At 47.2% G+C, this 19,471-nt stretch overlaps 1 protein-coding gene across 27 annotated transcripts in view, besides 2 other annotated features; it reads right to left on the reverse strand.

The window, feature by feature from the left end:
- The window catches only part of SLC39A11 (solute carrier family 39 member 11), a 446,740-nt gene that overhangs the window by 83,079 nt on the left and 344,190 nt on the right, over nt 1-19,471 (reverse strand). For all 27 annotated transcript variants that reach the window (XM_017024335.2, NM_139177.4, XM_006721757.3 and 24 more), the window contains one exon: nt 7,623-7,692. In XM_017024335.2, coding sequence (XP_016879824.1) covers nt 7,623-7,692 — 70 coding nt within the window. The remainder of the gene's footprint in view (nt 1-7,622; nt 7,693-19,471) is intronic.
- Nucleotides 13,779-14,316: an enhancer, noted in NCBI's record as "NANOG-H3K27ac-H3K4me1 hESC enhancer chr17:70738945-70739482 (GRCh37/hg19 assembly coordinates)". NCBI's record gives its function as "activates a minimal SCP1, AML or CMV promoter by ChIP-STARR-seq in naive H9 embryonic stem cells {active_cell/tissue: H9 hESC(naive)}" and the evidence as "EXISTENCE:reporter gene assay evidence [ECO:0000049][PMID:30033119]".
- Nucleotides 14,317-14,853: an enhancer, noted in NCBI's record as "H3K27ac-H3K4me1 hESC enhancer chr17:70739483-70740019 (GRCh37/hg19 assembly coordinates)". NCBI's record gives its function as "activates a minimal SCP1, AML or CMV promoter by ChIP-STARR-seq in naive H9 embryonic stem cells {active_cell/tissue: H9 hESC(naive)}" and the evidence as "EXISTENCE:reporter gene assay evidence [ECO:0000049][PMID:30033119]".

The following is a 19,471-nucleotide window of genomic DNA, read 5'->3' on the forward strand; positions in this document are numbered from 1 at the left end:
TGGGCTGTAAATATTCTTTTTCAGTTGGTGCATTCTTCACACTGGTTTATCTCCCCACCTGCTCTCCCAGATTATTTTATCTTAGCCAGATGCATGTTTGAGTTACCTCTTGGGTGATGTCTCTTGCCTGCATCGGAACCCACCATAGTTGCCAACTTTTTGCTGAGTAATGCACCTGTTTCTTTCCTGCCTCAATCCAATCCTTTATTTATTTAGTTTTATTTTTTTTGAGGCACAGTCTCTCTATTGCCCAGGATGGAGTGCAGTGGCACGATCACGGCTTACTGCAGCCTCAACCTCCCTAGGCTCAGGTGGTCCTCCCACCTCAGGATTCAGAGTACCTGGGACTACAGGTGCATGCCACCCCACCTGGCTATTTATATATATATATATATATATATATATATATATATATATATATATATATATATTTTTTTTTTTTTTTTTTTTTGTAGAGACAGGGTTTCATCATGTTGCCCAGGCTGGTCTTGAACTCCTGGGCTCAAGCAACCCACCTATGTCAGCCTCCCAACATGCTGGGATTACAGGCATGAGCCACTGCAACCAGCCAATCCAATCCTTTAGACATACCTTCTCTAAAGCACCAGAAAATTCTATCTCAGTCATATCGGTTTGTCCACCAGCCCTGAAAAAACCTTGGCACCTACCTTGGCATTTGCTCAGAGTACTACCTGCCCTTATCATCCCCTTACCAAAGCAGACCACCCCTATGCTCCTGATGAAATGTAGACCATTCTATGAAGAGCCCTTGAGAGGAGCAAAAAGCTTGCCTGTCTTCTACTGGTTTCTTGGTCTGGCTTGGATCAAGCCCTTTGGAGCTTGGACTGTGTTAATCTTATGCCGCCTATGGGCTTAACTGTCGATTAATAAATTACTATGGGTATCTTTTCTGCTATTGACTTTCAACTATATCACATCGAAATCAAGACAATGCGGTCTGAATGGCATTGATCTTAGGGTATGTATTCTGACTCTCTCTGTGGCAGAGCACTCTAATCCATTTTAGGAACCCTCACGTGGCTTGAAATGAACGTAAGCTTTCTAATGACTGGGCTACAGTTTATATATGTCCACTGCATGCATTTTGTTAACTTAATATCTGCGTCATCTACAAGTATCAGACAGGGACATTAAACTCCCCCACCATGACTGTGTTTCTCCTTGCAATTCTGATGATTTTTCCTTTAAACAGTTCGAGGCTTATGTTGCTAGGCGCCTACAAACGCAGCATCAGGATGTCATTCTGGTACATTACTTCCCCTTTCCTTAAGTACTGACCTTTATCCCTTATCTGGCTTTCTGCCTTCAAGTCTGGTTTGTCTGAGACAAAAATGTAATACCCGCTTTCTTTTGATTAGCGTTTGCCTTGTATCTTTCTTCCTTTCAACTTTACCATGTCATATTTTAGGTGTGCCACTTATTAATCACTTAGAACTGAACATTTAAAAAGCAAAACCTCTTTGAAGAGATGAATTCCACCATCTGACGGCTGAATTATTTCACTTTGATTTTCCATCTCTCTTCCCAGTGTTTATTCGTTCATGCATTCTCACTTCCCTCCTCCATCCTATACCTCTCTCTCTCATTAGTAGTTGTCCTTTTAGATTCACTAGCATATTATTATTTTTTGAGACAAGGTCTTGCTCTGTCACCCAGGCTGCAGCACAGTGGTGCAATCACAGCTCACTGTAGCCTTGACCTCTCAGGCTCAAGTGATCCTCTTGCCTCAGCCCCCTGAGTAGATGGGACCACAGATGCACACCATGATGCCTAGATGATTTTTTTTCTCTTTTATAGAGATGGGGTCTCCCATCTTTATACTCAGCCGAGCAATAGGAACTATAGGTGTGCGCCACCACGTCCGGCGAATTTTTTGTATTTTTAGTAGAGACGGGTTTTCACCATGTTGGTTGGGCTGGTCTCGAACTCCTGACCTCAGGTGATCCGCCCGCCTCGGCCTCCCAGTGCTGGAATTGCAGGTGTGAGCCACTGTGCCCGGCCAGCCATGCCCATTTCTTTACGTATTATTTAGGGCTACCTTGGCACTTGCACGACAGTCAGTCAAGCAGTTGTGACAGAGATTATATGGCCCACAGGCCATCTGGAATTCTAAGAGAAAGTTTGGCAGCTTCTACTCTAGAATGGCAGTTACTTTTTCTTGGCACTTTGAAGACAGCATTCCCCTGTCTTCAATTAGAGCTCAGAAATCTTCTGTGAGTTGAACTGTCGTTTCTGTGTAGAGAATCCGTCTCTGCCTCCGGTATCTCCAGATTCTGTCCCAGTCCCTGGTGGATATGGTTTGGATCTGTGTCTCCGCCCACATCTCATGTGGAATTGTAATCCCCAATGTTGGGGGTAGGACGTGGTGGGAGGTGATTTGATCATGGGGGCGGCTTTCCTCCTTGGTGTCTTTTGTAAAACTATTATATTATTATAAATCTATCCATTATTAAGTATTAAAAAGTGCTTTCATTTGTGCAACCTTATGCAGTTTTTTTTTTTAAATAAACCTTTCATTTTAGATTAGCTTTAGGTCTACAGAAAAGCTCAAAGATAGTAGAGAGAGTTCCTGTGTACCCTGCCCTCAGTTTCCCCTATCGCTAGCATCTCACTTTGGATGGAACATTTGTTACAACTAAGGAACCCATATTGGTGCATTCCTTTTTTTGTTTGTTTGTTTGTTTGTTTGTTTGTTTGAAATGGAGACTTGCTCTGTTGCCCAGGCTGGAATGCAATGGCGCGATCTTGGCACACTGCAACCTCCACCTCCCAGGTTCAAGAGATTCTCCTGCCTCAGCTCCTGAGTAGCTGGGATTACAGGTGCCCACCATCACGCCTGGCTAGTTTTTTGTATTTTCAGTAGAGGTGGGGTTTCACCATGTTGGTCAGGCTGGTCTCGAACTCCTGATCTCGGGTGATCCACCCACCTTGGCCTCCCAAAGTGGTGAGATTACAGGCCCTTTTCTTTTCTTTATTTTTTTCTTTTCTTTTCTTTTTTTTTTTTTTTTTTTTTTTTTTGAGACAGAGTCTCGCTCTGTTGCCCAGGCTGGAGGGCAGTGGTGAGACCTCAGCTCACTGTAACCTCAGCCTCCCAAGTAGCTGGGATCAAAGGCACCTACCACCACACCCGGCTAATTTTTGTATTTTTAGTAGGGATGGGAGGGTTTTGTAGGCCAAGCCGGTCTTGAATTCCCGACCTCGAGGGATCCGCCCGCCTCGGCCTCTCAAAGTACGGGATTATAGGCGTGAGCCACGGCACCTGGCCATGTGCATTACTTTTAACTACACTATATTCAGATTTCACTAGTAACTACACTATATTCAGTGTATTCAGATTTCACTAGTTCTTCCCTAACGTCTCTTTCCTGTACAAAGATCCCATCCAGAACAGCGCCTCGCATTTAGTCTCCTTCGTCTTCTCTGGACTGTTTCTTAGACTTCCCTTGTTTTGGGACCATCTTGGCAGTTTTGAGGAGGGCTGGTCAGGTATTTTGTCCCTCGGTTCGGGTCTGTCTGATGCATTTCTCCTGCAGTTTTGTTATTTCTAGTTTTGTGAGTGCTATCTTTCCTGCGCAGCGGCATGTTTCCCTCTGTGGTTTGTCTGTATTTTATTTTCTATTTGAGTGTAAGTGCAACCGTACTTAAGAGTCCTCCTCCTTGCCCCCAGGCATCTGGTGTGGCTGGTTAGTGGAAGAGTTAGGGCTTTGTGTAGGTAAGGACTTTATGTTTGTTCCTGCTAGAGCCTGAAAGATTTCTATTATCCTAGGCCAGTATTTATGCTCTTTATTTGAGGTTTCTGGTACAAGATAGAGTATAAAAGTTTGTACCATACACCCTTTGTGTGATGCAGGTCTAGGGTTTTCCTATCCTGCACATCATTTACTATGCCCTATACCCCATCTCTCTGTCCAAGATCCTGGAGAGAGGACAAGTTGCACACGCAAGTTCCTGGACCAGTGGGTGGAGTTTTATAGTCCCTTTTACAGAAGGCAATGCCTACAAGCCCTGGTCTTTAGGCTGGGCTGTTTCAGTTCCCTGACATCCAAGGGCAAGGGCACGGCTCCATCCGCTCCATAGGCAAGAGGTCCAACCCTCAATCCTTTGAAGCTCTGTGAGGATCTGAAACCACCTACCACGGTGTCTTTGATTTTTCCCTTTATTTCTAGCATCTGGCATTTCTTTCTCCTTAGTCCTTGGCTGTGTAGTAAAAACCATGTTTACTAGTTTGTTTGTTTGTGGTGGGACATCCATGTCAGCTGATCTCACCATGTTACTGGAAGTACTAGTGACAAATGTTCAGCTTCTAGGAAGAGTTTTTTCATACAAATTGTGTTTTCTGCAATGACTAGCAAAATATGAGACATATACCACTACTCACTAAAGAACGGGTGCATGAATGAATGAATGAATGAATGAGTGGAGACCAGGACTGCTCAGAAGATAAGCTAAGCATCTGCAGCCTCCGTGGAGGCTGGACTGGCTGAGTCTGGGAGACTCCGGGCAGGCAGGGGCTGGTGCACAGTCCCCCTGCCTGGCACTCTGTGTCACAGTGGTCCTGGCCTCATGCGGCCTTATTCAATGCTGAGGACCACATGATTTCACCAATGGCTCATCCAACAGGGTTGCCTGTTCACTTTCTACTTTCATCATCTTACAGTGTCAGTGCCTTTTCTTTTCCCTCTTGAAAGAGGGAACTGAGAATGAGTGTGGGTGGATTTAGTGCAATTGATCAAGCCAAAGTCTCATCCTGGATTGCAGGTGGTCATCTAAGGCAAGATACTGCCTTGGTGTATGAACCCCATAGCAGGCTGTTTCTGCAGGGCTGGCTTCTCTGGACTCTACACACAAGCACAGATGCTGGTTCGAAAGCCCCAGCATTATGAGATAACTGGAAGCTGCAGCCCTTGACCTCCTTGTGTCAACAGGCACAACACTGGCCCCGACCTGCTATGAGTTGAGCATTCTACAGCCTTGCAGGGTGGTAGGCTCTGCCTGTCCAGGCTACAGTTCAGCACATACCTTTCCCTCATGGCTACTCAAGTGGGAAATCCTCACTCTCCACTATCCTTTTGTCCCTATCCTCCCATGAAATCCTATGTGTAGTGTGAACTAAAGGCAGAGAAAGCTAACAAGTCTTGGCCCAGGGGCTGTTCTACATCTTGCCACCCAAGAAGAAGATGCCAGACATTTAGAGAGGAGGGAATCACAAACTCTACACGTTTTTCAAAGTGGGGAGAATGGGCTGAAGGGTCTGCTTGAGGGAATGTTCTTCCCTCGTTCCTTCTCTGCAGCCTGCATTGCAGGGGTCCCCTGGCCCCAGTACTCTGTGGACATAGTGGCAATGGCAGCACAGCTCCATCATTCCTGCCCCTCAGGCTGTGACAATAATGGGTCAGGTGTGGGGGCATATGGACCCTCCAGTGATGCTTGTATAGCAGAGGGTCTCGTGAGGCTGAAAACACCAAGGCCTGCTGCCCCGACTCCACCCCAGTTAGAGGATCCTGTCGAGGGCTTTTGTAACTGAGAGAGAATCTGTTTGGTCCGGGGAAGGGAGGAGCTGAGTTGGAAATATTTTTGCTCCACTTTCTTCCAAAATACTTATAAAGACTGGCAGAAAGTGCAGGTGACAGAACAGAAGAACATCGGAGTTGACATGATGATGTCGCGGGGGACGTGGTGCCACCAGAGAGCCTGGCCTGTGAGTTCCATGCCTGGGGCACAGCTGTCACTTGCTGGGCACAGACCTCTGCAGCGTGTGCGGTTTCCTGCGCTCTGGGAGGACTTGGCCTTTGAATGTTTATAAGGTCACACCCTCTGGGCTCTTCAGCCCCGTGGATACTGCTTGACTCTGAAGTCTCTTGTGGTCTAGTGGAGTCAGGATCAAAACTGCTGTGCCAGGGGCAGAAGAGCTACATGCCCCCACCCCAGGCCCCGCGCTTAGAAGAGCAGTCTGCAGGGTGTGACGAGTCATCATTAGCCCTTGTTTTGGGTGACATTTCTTACATTCTAAAGGCTCTGCCCTCCTTGTCTACCATCTCATGTGATTTTCACCATAAGCATCATTTTAATGAATGACTTGGGAGTCTGAGAGGCAGGAACATGAAGTTGAGAATAAGAAAAGTTTCGCCCTGGAACATTCCAGCCCATGCACATATTCGGGGCTTCATGGAGCAGGCACGCTTCTTAACGTACAGCCTTAGAATTCAGCGACCAGCAATGACTACATTTAACACACAGGGGCTCCATTTCAGCTGGGGAAACAGATGCAAGGAAGCGGCCTGAACACAGTCCTCAGGGCGCATAAACAGGCCCCACGCAGGCTTGGTAACCAGGGAAGGATGGAAAAGGGGTTATGTGAGAAATTCGTTTCTGACAGTCACGATCAATGGGTGCAGGAGGGAGTGCTATTTCCTTGGGGGAGTCAGGGAGAATATTTTGGGACTGCATCAGTCTGAAGACAGTGAATGAGCTCCAAGAGTGATAAACCAGTCGCCCTTGAGCCACTGCACTGAGTTATGTTTTAAAATAACTGTGAATTCAAGTACCTTTAGATAGTGCGCGTGCTGTTTAAAGTTCGCCTTATTCCTCATGGTTCCCAGCTGTCTTCACCTGACTGTCTCCACCCATTTTGATGATCTTTTAGTCCCCTGAAGCCACTTGAGTTTGCTGCCCTCAGATAGAAGGCTCCATCCTGCAGAGTGTGGCATTTATGGCTTTATGGGCCTGGGTGGACCATGGAAACCACAGCTGCACGATGTCTAGAGAACAGCATGTGATCCCAAGGCTGTGACCTTACCTATGCCCTGTTTATTTCCAGGCAGGTAGAAGAGCAAAGAATTTACAAGGCCCAGTGCTTCTGTATGGAAGGTGAGGGAAAACGCGGCATTGAGAGTGACGGCAGGGTTGGCTTGGTCAACTGGGTACAGCGGTGACAGGGAACCCTGGAGGAGGGGCAGGTTCTACATGACAGCAGATGGAGAAATATAGGAACATATTCAGGACAAAAGACTCAGCTGGAGCTTGACTTGGGTATCATCAGCAAACACATGGAAAATAAAGTCACAAGGACGGAGAAGATTGCCCAGAAATGGTGTGTTCAGTGAGAAGGAAGGATGCTCTGGATACAGGTCCCTGGGAACATCACCTCTTAAGAACAGGCCATAGGATGACAAGCCCACCACCAAAGGGCCTTTCCAGGAGCAGGTGGAAAGAGAGAGGGAAACGAAGGGACCCTAGCATCAAGAAAGACAAAGGGAGGGCTTCAAAAAGGAAAGGCCTGAAGAGTGTCAGCGGCTGCCTTTGTTTTTTGTCATTAGTCTTCACACCTTTGAAGTGCTTAGAGTACAGCTTGCGATTCTATCCATGCTTTGTTTCCAAAATGATCATCACCCACTTAATAGCTCAGTTGAAAGACTCCTCTCTTAGGAGACTCCTCTCTCAGGGATGGCCTTCACCGGACCCCATGTGGCCTCCATCAGTCTTGGTCCTGTGGGGCTGGGGTGCTGAACAATAATGCACAGACAGCCCACCCAGGTGACACGCACACCCAGAGCACCCCTGGGTGCAGAACCATGCTCTAGGGTCCCAGGATGCTGGCTTACCTGGCACTCTCAAAGGTAGCAGATGCCGTCTTTTCTATAGCCCCAAATCCAACTCCAACAGCGAGACCCTCTGAAATAGATGTAAGAAAAGCAAGAGGGGTTAGGAATATTTCCCCATAAGGAACATCACCATCACTGTCACTGCATTAAGTAGGACTGCATGAGGCTGCCAGTCAAAGAAAATCATCGTAACAGCAGCTTAAACCCAGGGAAACTAAGTCATGGGGGCCAAATGGCTGCTGCCTTCTTCTCTATGGCCTGCAACCTAGGAATGATTTTTGTATTTTTTAAGTAATTGAAAAAACAATGACTATTTCATGATACATGAAAATTATGTAAAATTTGGCCAGGCACAGTGGCTCATGCCTGTAATGCCAGCACTCTGGGAGGCCAAGACAGGCAGATCACCTGAGGTCAGGAGTTCGAGACCAGCCTGGCCAACATGGTGAAATCCCATCTCTACTAAAAATACGAGAGTTAGCAGGGCGTGATGGTGCACACCTGTAATCCCAGCGACTCGAGAGGCTGAGGCAGGAGAATCACTTGAACACAGGAGGCGGAGGCTGCAGGGAGCCAAGAGTGTGCCACTGCACTCCAGCCTGGGTGACAAAGTGAGACTCTGTCTCAAAAAAAAAAAAATAAAAATAAATTTATATAAAATTCAAATTTGAGTGTCTGTAAATGAAGTTGTACTGGCACACAGCCATGCTCATTGGCTGACGAAATGTTTATGGTGGGTTTCATAGTACATGAGCACAGTTGAGTAGTTGGGACAGAAACTGTATGGCCTGAAATCTAAAATATTTACTTTCTGGAACTTTCATAACCCCTGGCCTAAACACACAGGGCTTTATTTATTAGCTCATGCAACAGAAAGTCCAAGGTTGATACAGCAGCCCAAAGATGTCACTGCAGACATAGGTGTCTTTAGTTTTCATTTTTTTTTCCTTCATTCTCACCATTAGGTCCTCATAGTTGCAAAGTGACTGTGCTACCTCCAGGCATCTCAATTACATCCTAGGCAAGAAGAAAGTAGAAAGGTAGAAACCTTTCTTTAACAAGTCTTTGTCTCATTACTCTGGAAGGAACATCTTTCCCAGCATCCCTCATACCTCTTCGGCCAGAACAGGAGCAAACGCCCATCCCTAGATCCATCGCAGCCTCAGGCCCCAAATACTGAGACTCCAGGACCAATTGAGGCCAGTCTCAATCCCTCTCTGGGGCTGGGAAAGAGTCTACCCTGCCCATGCTCCCTGAAATCAAGGGAGCCACCATCTGAATAAACTGGGGTCTTGTCAGTAGCAAAGGAGGAGGGGTGGCGTGATCACCACCACCAGCATGCATTTTTATTTTTATATTTTTATGTTTTATTGAGAACGGAGTCTTGCTCTGTCACCCAGACTGGAGTGCAGTGGCATGATCTCAGCTCACTGCAAGCTCCGCCTCCCGGGTTCACGCCATTCTCTTGCCTCAGCCTCCCGAGTAGCTGGGACTACAGGCGCCCGCTACCACGCCCGTCTAATTTTTTGTATTTTTAGTAGAGACGGGCTTTCACCGTGTTAGCCAGGATGGTCTCGATCTCCCGACCTCGTGATCCACCCATCTCAGCCTCCCAAAGTGCTGGGATTACAGGCATGAGCCACCGCACCTGGCCAAGCAAGCATTTTTATATGACTGCTCTTTGAAGAACATTCCAGCTTTCAAAGGAACCACCCTCATATGGTGCAGACAGATGCGGTCTACACTGATGGGGTGGCTGGAGTCGAGTGTGCAGCGTGGGGCTAGACAAGATGGGTTTTCACGTCCTTTCCTGTGGTACATGGGCTTGCCAAGTTCACCACCCACTCGCCTAGGGATCAGATGTGGGAGGATGATGCTGGTCTGCGTGTATCTGATGGCGCAGCGAGGGTCATGGAAGGAAATGGACCTGATCCAGTGGCCACGGACCAAAGGAGTGGAAGCACAGCATCAGGGCGCTTCTGACATCTGTGAAGAGGGCGATGATTCCCCTCGATCCAAACACGAAGGAGAACTACTGAATTACCACCACTGTTCAGGAGCAAGGCCAAGGGCTTTGGGGGTCAAATTCGAACTTTCTTTTAAGAAGAGGGAAGACATAAAAATCGACTGAATGAGAGGAACTCGTTTTCTTTTGATTCATTGCCTCTTAGTACAGCGCATTTCTTTCTTGTGTCCTGTCTGTTTGAAGTGGGTCCAGGATGCTGGAATTGTGACACTGACTCCAGGAGACACCTGGGGACAAGAAGGCAGCGGAGACTTATCCCATGTTCAGGTGAAAGTGCTCACCTGTGATGCACTCCAGCTCAACAAGAGTCCGCAATGGGGTCTGGAGCCCAAAGATCCTGCTAAGGAATAAGGTGTTCTTTTTTTTGCCTAATTTTACCTTTTGTGCTTGATCTCCTGCGGGGTCCTGATGGGATAGCTGTGATCACTGTAAGCTGCAGGTTGAGAATTTCGGATTTTTTTTTTTTTTTTGAGACACAGTCTCACTCTGTCGCCCAGGCTGGAGTGCAGTGGTGCGATCTCGGCTCACTGCAACCCCCACCTCCTGGGTTCAAGTGAGTCTCCTGCCTCAGCCTCCCAAGTAGCAGGACTACAGGCATGCGCCACCATGCCCAGCTAATTTTTGTACTTTTAGTAGAGACAGGATTTTACCGTGTTGGCCGGGCTGGTCTTGAACTCCTGACCTCAAGTGACCTGTCTGCTTCAGCCTCCCAAAGTGCTGGGATTACAGGCATGAGCCACTGCACGCAGTGAGAATTTGGGATTCTGATTCCCTACCAAGTATCTTTCCAGTTATAAGAATTTTTATAACAACCAATGTCAGGACACGGAGTCCTAGGACAACAGAGGTGGAGGAAACTGCAGAGATCAGCCACTGTGACTCCTGGGCCACTGTCAGATTCAGAAGCCAGGTAGTCAGAGGGAGGTCTTTCCAAAACCAGACAGCAGCATCAAGCCTTCTGGGCCCGGCCTCTCAGCGTGCACGTGCACACCTTAGCAGCCCACAGAGAAGGCTCCAAAACCCTCCCTTTAACAGCTCTGAGGCTGAAGGTGGCTGGCTGGAGTCAGCACCACCAGAGCAACCAGGCTTTAAAATCGATACGCATTTTTAAAAATTATTTTTTATTTACAGTGGACCCTTGAACAATGCAGGGATTAGGGGCGCCAATCCCTTGCACAGTTGAAAACCCACATATAACTTTAAACTCCCCCAGAAATGTTACTAATAGTCTAATATTGACGTTACCAAGAACATAAAGTCAATTGACACATATTTTGTGTGCTATATATATTATATACAGTATTCTTACAAGAAAGTAAGCTAGATAACACTTCTTATATTTTTACAGTAAAGCAAGCTAGATAGAATTTCTTTCCTTTTCTTTTTTTTTTTTTTTTTTTTTTTTGAGATGGAGTCTCTCTCTGTCGCCCAGGCTGGAGTGCAGTGGCGCCATTTCGGCTCACTGCAAGCTCCACCTCCTGGGTTCACACCATTCTCCTGCCTCAGCCTCCCGAGTGGCTGGGACTACAGGCGCCCGCCACCACGCCTGGCTAATTTTTTGTATTTTTTAGTAGAGACGGGGTTTCACACCGTGTTAGCCAGGATGGTCTTGATCTCCTGACCTCGTGATCTGCCCACCTCAGCCTCCCAAAGTGCTGGGATTACAGGCGTAAGCCACCGCGCCCGGCCAGAATTTCTTAATGTTAAGAAAATCATAAGGAAGAGAAAATACATTTACAGTGCCGTACTGTATTTATCAAGACCGTACGTTTATGTTGTCTGTTTATAAAGAGGAGTTGTGTGTCTGAAATGGTAGGCACCCACAGCTGCAGACCTCAAACTATGGTACATATCAAGCAAGTTCATTTTTTCTTATAACGTCATGACTTTTTTCTGCTTCTTGGGAGCACTTCCAGCATCCTTAATGGTACTTTGTGTGGGTCCCGTGCTGTTATTCAAGGTTTACGATATTGCACTAAACATGACGAAAACTACGTAAGAACTGAGAGAGATCACTTTTTACGGGACTATGCAATTCACTGCAGAGATGAACTGCTCATGAGGAGATGCTCAGTGTCACAAGGCCTTTTTTTATTTTTATTTTTTATTTGTATTTGAGACGGAGTTTTGCTATTGTTGCTCAGGCTGGAGTGCAATGGCGCAATCTTGGCTCACCGCAACCTCCGCCTCCCAGGTTCAAGCGATTCTCCTGCCTCAGCCTCCCGAGTAGCTGGGATTACAGGCGTGCACCACCATGCCCGGCTAATTTTGTATTTTTAGTAGAGACGGGGTTTCTCCATATTGCTCAGGCTGGTCTCGAACTCCTGACCTCAGGTGATCTGTCCGCTTTGGCCTCCCAAAGTGCTGGGATTACAAGCATGAGCCACTGCGCCCCACCCAACAAGGCCTTTTAAGCAGACGCCCGCAACACTTGAGCTCACTGCAACAGCAACAGGAGGTGGCTACAAAATTGTTACAGTAGTACAGTGGGCTGTAGTTAATTCTATGTAGTTATGACTTAATATATCGTTTACAAAATGTTTTAATTTTTAAAAAAGTTTTTCATAGAGATGGTCTCACTAAGTTGTCCAGGCTGATCTTGAACTCCTAGCCTCAAGCGATCCTCCTGCCTCAGCCTCTCAAAGTGCTGAGAATACAGGCTAACACTGCATCTTTACGTTTGCTTACATTTCTCTTCACTGTGAGTGGCACCATATATGATCTGTGTTTGTGGGTATAATTTTTGATAAATTTTAACTTTTTATAATTTGTGTATTTTTACAGTAATCAATGATAGACTAGACTAGTATCGACACATATATTTCACTGCAGGTATAAGGCTTATAGCCCAGTGTCTAGCATACAAAGGGCCACCAGTCCCCCATTTCCCGAGGCAAAGAATCACAGAGACGTTAGGATCTTGAAGAGGAGGCCTAATTTGGAGCCTAGAGGCCTAATGTGGAGCACTAGTATTTGCATTAAAATGACTAATTCAAATATAGGTGGGAACTGTCACCTCCAGTCCACAGATCAGAGAGGGAAGGTGATGGGAGCTGGTCTGAGAGACACAGGTGGGTTCTGAGTCCGAGGCCCAGGGTGTTGGTCCTTCATTACTCAAGGAATATATATGATGAAAGCCATAACTCAAGTATCAGAAAGGGGTGTGGATCCATGTTCAATATTTTAAGGTTTGCCTGATGGATGCAACATCATCAAAAAGAGGTAAGCAAGAATGAGTACCCAGCCGGGCACAGTGGCTCCCGCGCCTGTAATCCCAGCACTTTGGGAGGCCGAGGTAGGTGAATTGCTTGAGATCAGGAGCTCAAGATTAGCCTGGCCAACATGGTGAAACCTCGTCTCTACTAAAAATACAAAAAATTTGCTGGGCATGGTGGCTCACATCTTTAATCCCAGCTACTAGGGAGGCTGAGGCTGGAGAATCGCTTGAACCCGGGAGGCAGAGGTTGCAGTGAGCCAAGATCGCGCCACTGCACTCCAGCCTGGGCGACAGTGTGAGACTCCATCTCAAAAAAAAAGAGTATCCTACGTGAGGTGGCTGACACTGGTGAGAGCTGAATTTCAGGGCAGGCTGCGATGGGTATGCCTAAGGGTTTCTGACATCCTTTCCGTTAGGGAGGAGGCAGCCTCGTTTTTGCAGCCCGAGTCGTGGGAGCTGCCCGTGTCCATGGTCATGAGAATATGAACTTCGAGAACATCTGACCTGCTGCCACCTGGCCAGTGTCCTGCCTTTGAGGAGTCCAGGATTTACAAGCCTGCTGTTCTCAACCTTGTTTGGCACTAACACACCGGAGACCATCAGTAACGGTGGGTCTGCAAGGCACAGATCTTCACCAGGGATCCTTGGGGAGAAACCAAGCAAACTATTTCCTGACACTAGACAGGCGTATCCCTCCCTTTGAGAAAATTCACTTTCTAAAACCATAAACAACAGCTGGTTGACTCTTTTGTTAAAAATTTTCCTTTTTTTTCCTTTGTGTACACATTTAATTTTATTGTAACAGACAACTCGTGCACTTTTAATGTTTAAAACTGAGCATCATCTTTCCTTTCCAGGGAAACAAAAAGAAAATTTAAAAATAAACAGGAATAAAATTACAATAGAGAATGTCAATTCCAAATAAGATCCTACAGGTTCTGCTGATTCTCCCATTGAGTGGCAGGGCTCAAGTCATCATTAGGAGAGAATTTATTTTAAAAGTGTCATCTTAAACCGCAAGGATATCTGTCAGATATCACAATTAAACATGCCAAAGGAGAAGCCATGTTTTCAAAATGTCCCCAAAATTTTCTTCTAATTAGTCATTTTAATGCAAATAATAGTGCAGCCCAGAGCACTAGGACCTGTGCTAATTAGCAAAACAATCGCTTGGAGTAGCTTAGCTCACAGCCTGAGCTTGCTGACTTGTGACATAAATGCTCACAGCAGCTTTGGGAGATTGGGGAAGGGAGCACCCAGTGAGCAGATGAAGAAAAGGGCCTGCCCTAGGTGACCCAGCTGGGGGGGCTAGAGCTGGGCCGTAAACCGCAGTCTCTCATTGTTTCCTGCCCCCAAGTGTCCTCTGCTGCCCAGTTTGCTTGCAGCTTTCCCCCAGCTACAACATGGCCCCATGGGTAGTGAACACTGGCATCTGAGTCTCTGTACCCTGAAGAGGTTTGGAGCAAAGGGAATGCATTTTCCCTCCGGCCCATCCTGTACCTCAGGCCAGGCCAGTAGCAGGGGACAAAAGTTCACAAATGAGCATTCTGTGATGGTTTGCAAAGGAGCAGGTCCTTCCTCTCAGGTCTGCAGTGGCCCTGGCGGGAGAGAACCACAACTCCACGCTGCCTTAGGAGGCATCAGCCCACTTTCCCCCTGGATTTAGAAAGCGAAACAGGAAGAAGAGGTCCTGGGGGAAGACAATGTATCTGTTACCGTGTCTGAAAACAGAGGTGATCCCCGAGAGCTAAGCTCATGAGAAGGCAGGACACGTTAGTTATGCATGCAGAAGGAACACCAAAACGAGAATTCAGGCCGACACTGAAGATCAACAGACGGTAGAAAGAACTCACTGGGGGGAAAAGGAAAGGAGGAAAAATGCTGACTGATGCTCATGCCCCCAGTGTCCCACCTCGAGTGCAAATAGAAGAAACCCAACTCATACTGTGAATAACTTCTTGCCCCTTTACACAGCTACTGCCATTAGCTCAGGGAAAATGAACTGCCTGGCCTGGGTTAGTAAGTCCGACTGAACGCAGGGTGAGGCAGAGTCTGGAAGACAAACTTGAACATAAGCACCAAAGCGGAAGGAGCTGGCTCCAACCTCCTCCTGGGGCTGGAAGGCGGCTCTGCCTGCCTCTCTCCACCTCCCCATTGCCCTTGCAACTCCATCCCTCCATGGCCTCCTCTGCGGAAAACAGTAACAAAAAGGGCATGGGCTTTGGTTGAGATAAACCCAGGCTCAAATCTTAGTATATTATTTAAGGTTCTTGCAAAAATGAAAGGGGGATAACACTGCTTTGCTTACAGGATGGCTGTGTTCAATGAAATGTACCTGACAGGCCTGTTCAGGGTTCCCCACTATTGACATTTGGTAGTCGGGGACTATCCTGGCCACTCTAGGGTGGTTTGCAGCATCCCTGGCCTCTACTCACTAGATGCCAGTAGCACCTCCTGTCCCAGTTGTGACAAAGATGTCTTCAGAGGTTGCCAAATGTTACTTTTCTTCTCTCCCAATGAGGGACACTTACAGAAAAAAAAAATTAAACTCTTATATTAATAGAACATTCTTAGAGTTTAAGTCAGTGCTAGGAAAGCAAACAATAAAAAACAAGTGTTTTCTTTTTCAATGGAGCCATAAGCAGCTCTTACTTTTAAGGGCATGGGGTGGAGTTTGCAGTCTTCTTGCCCAGTTCTGGAGGCTGAGAAGTCTGAGATCAAGGTGGCCGCAGATTTGGTGTCTGGTGAGGGCTAGCTTCCTGGTTCACAGACTGGGGGTTCCTTGCTGTGTCCTCATATGATAGGAAGGGTGAGGGGGCCTCTCTCTCGGGCTTCTTTTATATAGGCATTAATCCCACTCATGAGGGCTCCAACCTCAAAGCCTAATCACCTCCCCAAAGCCTCACTTCCTGATACCATCGCATTGGGGGTTAGCATCTCAGCATACACATCTTTTCTTTTTTATTTGAGATGGAGTCTTGCTCTGTTGCCCAGGCTGGAGTGCAGTGGCACAATCTCAGCTCACTGCAACCTCTACCTCCCTGGTTCAAGTGATTCTCCTGCCTCAACCTCCTGAGTAGCTGGGATTACAGGTGCGCACCACCAGGCCTGGCTAATTTTTGTATTTCTAGTAGAGATGGGGTTTCACCATGTTGGCCAGGCTGGTCTTGAACTCCTGACCTCAAGCGATCTGCCTGCCTCGGCCTCCCAGAGTGCTGGGATTACCGGCATGAGCCACTGCACCTGGCCTCACATTTTTGAGAAACACAAATGTTGAGACCACAGCACCTGACATTTATGGGCATTGGTAATGAGTGGATGGGAAAGGGCACCTGTACACGGTAGCTTGAGAAGTGCAATCACCTTGGTTTGGCAGAGCCCGCTGCTGGGGCAGAAATGGCCCACTCAGAGGTGCTGTGGGGACATTCTTCTCTTCCTGCCAGACTATGGTCCCTGGGATATGGGCCCAGCTGTCAGATCATCTCAGCAATGAGAGGGGCTTCTAAATAGGATACAGTTGTTTCAGGGTGGTCAGACCAGGGGTAGGAACTCCAGGGCTGTCATTCCCCTTGTTCTGGACTTGACCCAGACCTCATGGAAGCTCATGAATGCATTCCTCTTGGGTGGTTTTCTCACAGGGGATCCCTTCTGGGCTCACAGGCTAACTGAAAGCTCAATCTTTCCCTGTATGCTGTTGTGAAGCCACTATTCTCCGCCCTGTGCCTGTACCATTAATTCTTTGTCTCTTAGGGCATTATATGGATGTCACTAAATCTCTCTGTTCCACGCCATTTGTTCTCCAACTGGGCCTCTGGTTTAAGCACTCATAGTATCAGTTTTAGAAGTTATAGCCAGAAGAAGTCTAGAAAATATCAATGCAAAGGCCATGCAGAAAATAAGCGGTGATGCTACGACTTTTCCTCCTTGATTTAAAAAAGTATTTAAATTAAGATAAGCAGATAAGACCCTGTGGAGGATTAATGAATATTAAACACAGCCACTACCACCACCAACAAACCCCAAAGGTGGAGAAATGACGAGTTATGGGATGGCTTATTCATTTCCATCTCCCCTAAAGACAGAGTAAGAGAAAAATGACTTAAATTACAGTTAGACGGATTTAGGCAAGAGGCAAAACTATGCTTGAGAGAGGAGGGCTTTGAAACATATGATAAAGAAACTGAAGGAAGGTCAAGGGTGTCCTTCTCTGCATGAGGAGTGTTCTCTGAAGGTGGGAGCTACTCCTCAGTCAGGGATGACTGGGATGGGGAGAGAAGGTGGGTTAGGAAGAACAGGGCAGGTAGCCTCATAACATCCCTCAGGCCAGATGACACTTCACCAATAAATACAGGCTCAGTTCTAGGAGCAAGGCTGAACATCCACATGTACATTCTCAGGTCCCAAAAGGCACTCATTAAAGGACAGAAAAATAACCACGTTGAGGGGTCAGGTGTGATGGCTGACACCTGTAATCCCAGCAATTTGGGAGGCTGAGGCAGGAAGATCTCTTGGGCCCAGTTCAAGACCAGCCTGGGCAACATAGCAAGACCCCATCTCTACAAAAAATTAAAAAATTGGCCAGGTGCAGTGGCTCACACCTATAACCCCATCACTTTGGGAGGCCAAGGTGGGTGGATCATGAGGTCAGGAGATCGAGACCACAGTGAAACCCCATCTCTACTAAAAATACAAAAAATTAGCCGGGCGTGGTGGTGGGCACCTGTAGTCCCAGCTACTCGGGAGGCTGAGACAGGATAATGGTGTGAACCCAGGAGGCGGAGCTTGCAGTGAGCTGAGATCACACCACTGCACTCCAGCCTGGGTGACAGAGCAAGACTCCGTCTCAAAATAAAATAAAATAAAATAAAAATTAGCTGGGTGTGCTGGTGTGCACCTGTAGTCCCAGCTACTAGGGAGGATGAGATGGGAGGATCACTTGAAGCTAAGAGTTTGAGACCAGCCAGGACAACATAGTGAGACCCTGTCTCTACCACACACAAAAAAATTGGCTGGGTATGGTGGCATGAACCTGTGGTACTAGCTACTCAGGAGGCTGAGGAGGAAGGATCGTTTGAGCCCAAGAGGTCAAGGCTGCAGTGAGCTATGATCGCACCACTGCACTTCAGCCTGGGTGACAGAGCGAGACTCTGGCTCTAATTTAATAAACAAAACTAAAAACAAAACATGTTGAAACATCTATTGCTGGAGTGGACAATGGGGGCTTTGGGGACAGGGTGTGCCCACCTCCAGCTGCATCAGGAGCCTCTGAGGTGCTGGACAAGCTCAGATTTATTTAATATTTCCATTTGAGACAGAATCTTGCTCTGTCACCCAAGCTGGAGTGCAGTGGTGCAATCTCAGTTCACTGCAACTTCCACCTACCAAGTAGCTGGGACTACAAGTGCACACCACTGCACCCAGCTAATTTTTGTATTTTTAGTAGAGGCGGGGTTTTTGCCATGTTGGCCAGGCTGGTCTTGAACTCCTGACCTCAGGTGATCTGCCCACCTCGGCTTCCCAAAGTGCTGGAATTACAGGCGTGAGCCACCGCGCCTGGCCAAGGACAAGCTCGGCTTTGATTCCTTGTCTGTCCCAGCCTGTCTGGGAAGTGTCACTAAACTGGGAGAGGACAACACACTAGGGACGGGAGCAACGTCACGTAACACTGCAGCAGGGATTTCCTGGCCACAGTCTATCAGGAGAGCCGACTCACAGGCTTAGACACACCATGGGGCAGGGCTGCTGTCTTCATTCTCACTCTGAGCCCCAAAACTTAGCTGAGCCTTCTGGGGAGACTAGCTGGCTGATGATTTGCTGATAACCCTGCATGGCGTGTCTTTGGTTGCAAAGGTCTAGCAGGAAGCAAAACCAAGAAGGCAGGAACTCTGATCATATTACACAATTATTAAACCAAATGTTGGTAGAACCAGCCAGGTATTATTGCCAAGGAATCCCTGTGGAGTCTGTTAGAGGCTGTATAAAGGATGGAAACTTACCAACTTATTTTCTTGAAAAAGTAGTTTGATGCAGTTTTCCAGTGTGGATTACTAATCCTGCTATTTATATTGGAAAAAGATACATGTGGGGAAAGATGAAAAATAGAAGTGTTCTAGAAAAGTTGACTTTAAATCAAATTCTTATCAATAAGGCCAGGTGCAGTGGCTCACGCCTGTAATCCCAGCACTTTGGGAGGCCGAGGCGGGTGGATCACCTGAGGTCAGGAGTTCAAGACTAGCCTGGCCAACATGGGAAAACCCCGTCTCTCCTAAAAATACAAACATTAGCTGGGCGTGGTGGTGGGAGCCTGTAGTCCCAGCTACTTGGGAGGGTTAGGCTGGAGAATCGCTTGAACACGGGAGGTGGAGGTTGCAGTGAGCCGAGATCGCGCCATTGCCCTCCAGCCTGGGCAATAGAGGGAGACTCCATCTCAAAAAAAAAAAATTCTTATCAATAAAGTCACATCCTATTGTTTATTAAGAAATATTGACAATTGAAGATACTCTAACATGAATCCCCTTTGTAACTAAAATAACTACTTCCTAATTAATGTTGACAAGTGTGCTTTTTTGGCATATCCGATTGTTTCACGTTGGGATCCCTCTGAAC

This window comes from Homo sapiens, chromosome 17 (assembly GCF_000001405.40).
Source record: "Homo sapiens chromosome 17, GRCh38.p14 Primary Assembly".
Classification (NCBI taxonomy): Eukaryota; Metazoa; Chordata; class Mammalia; order Primates; family Hominidae; genus Homo; species Homo sapiens.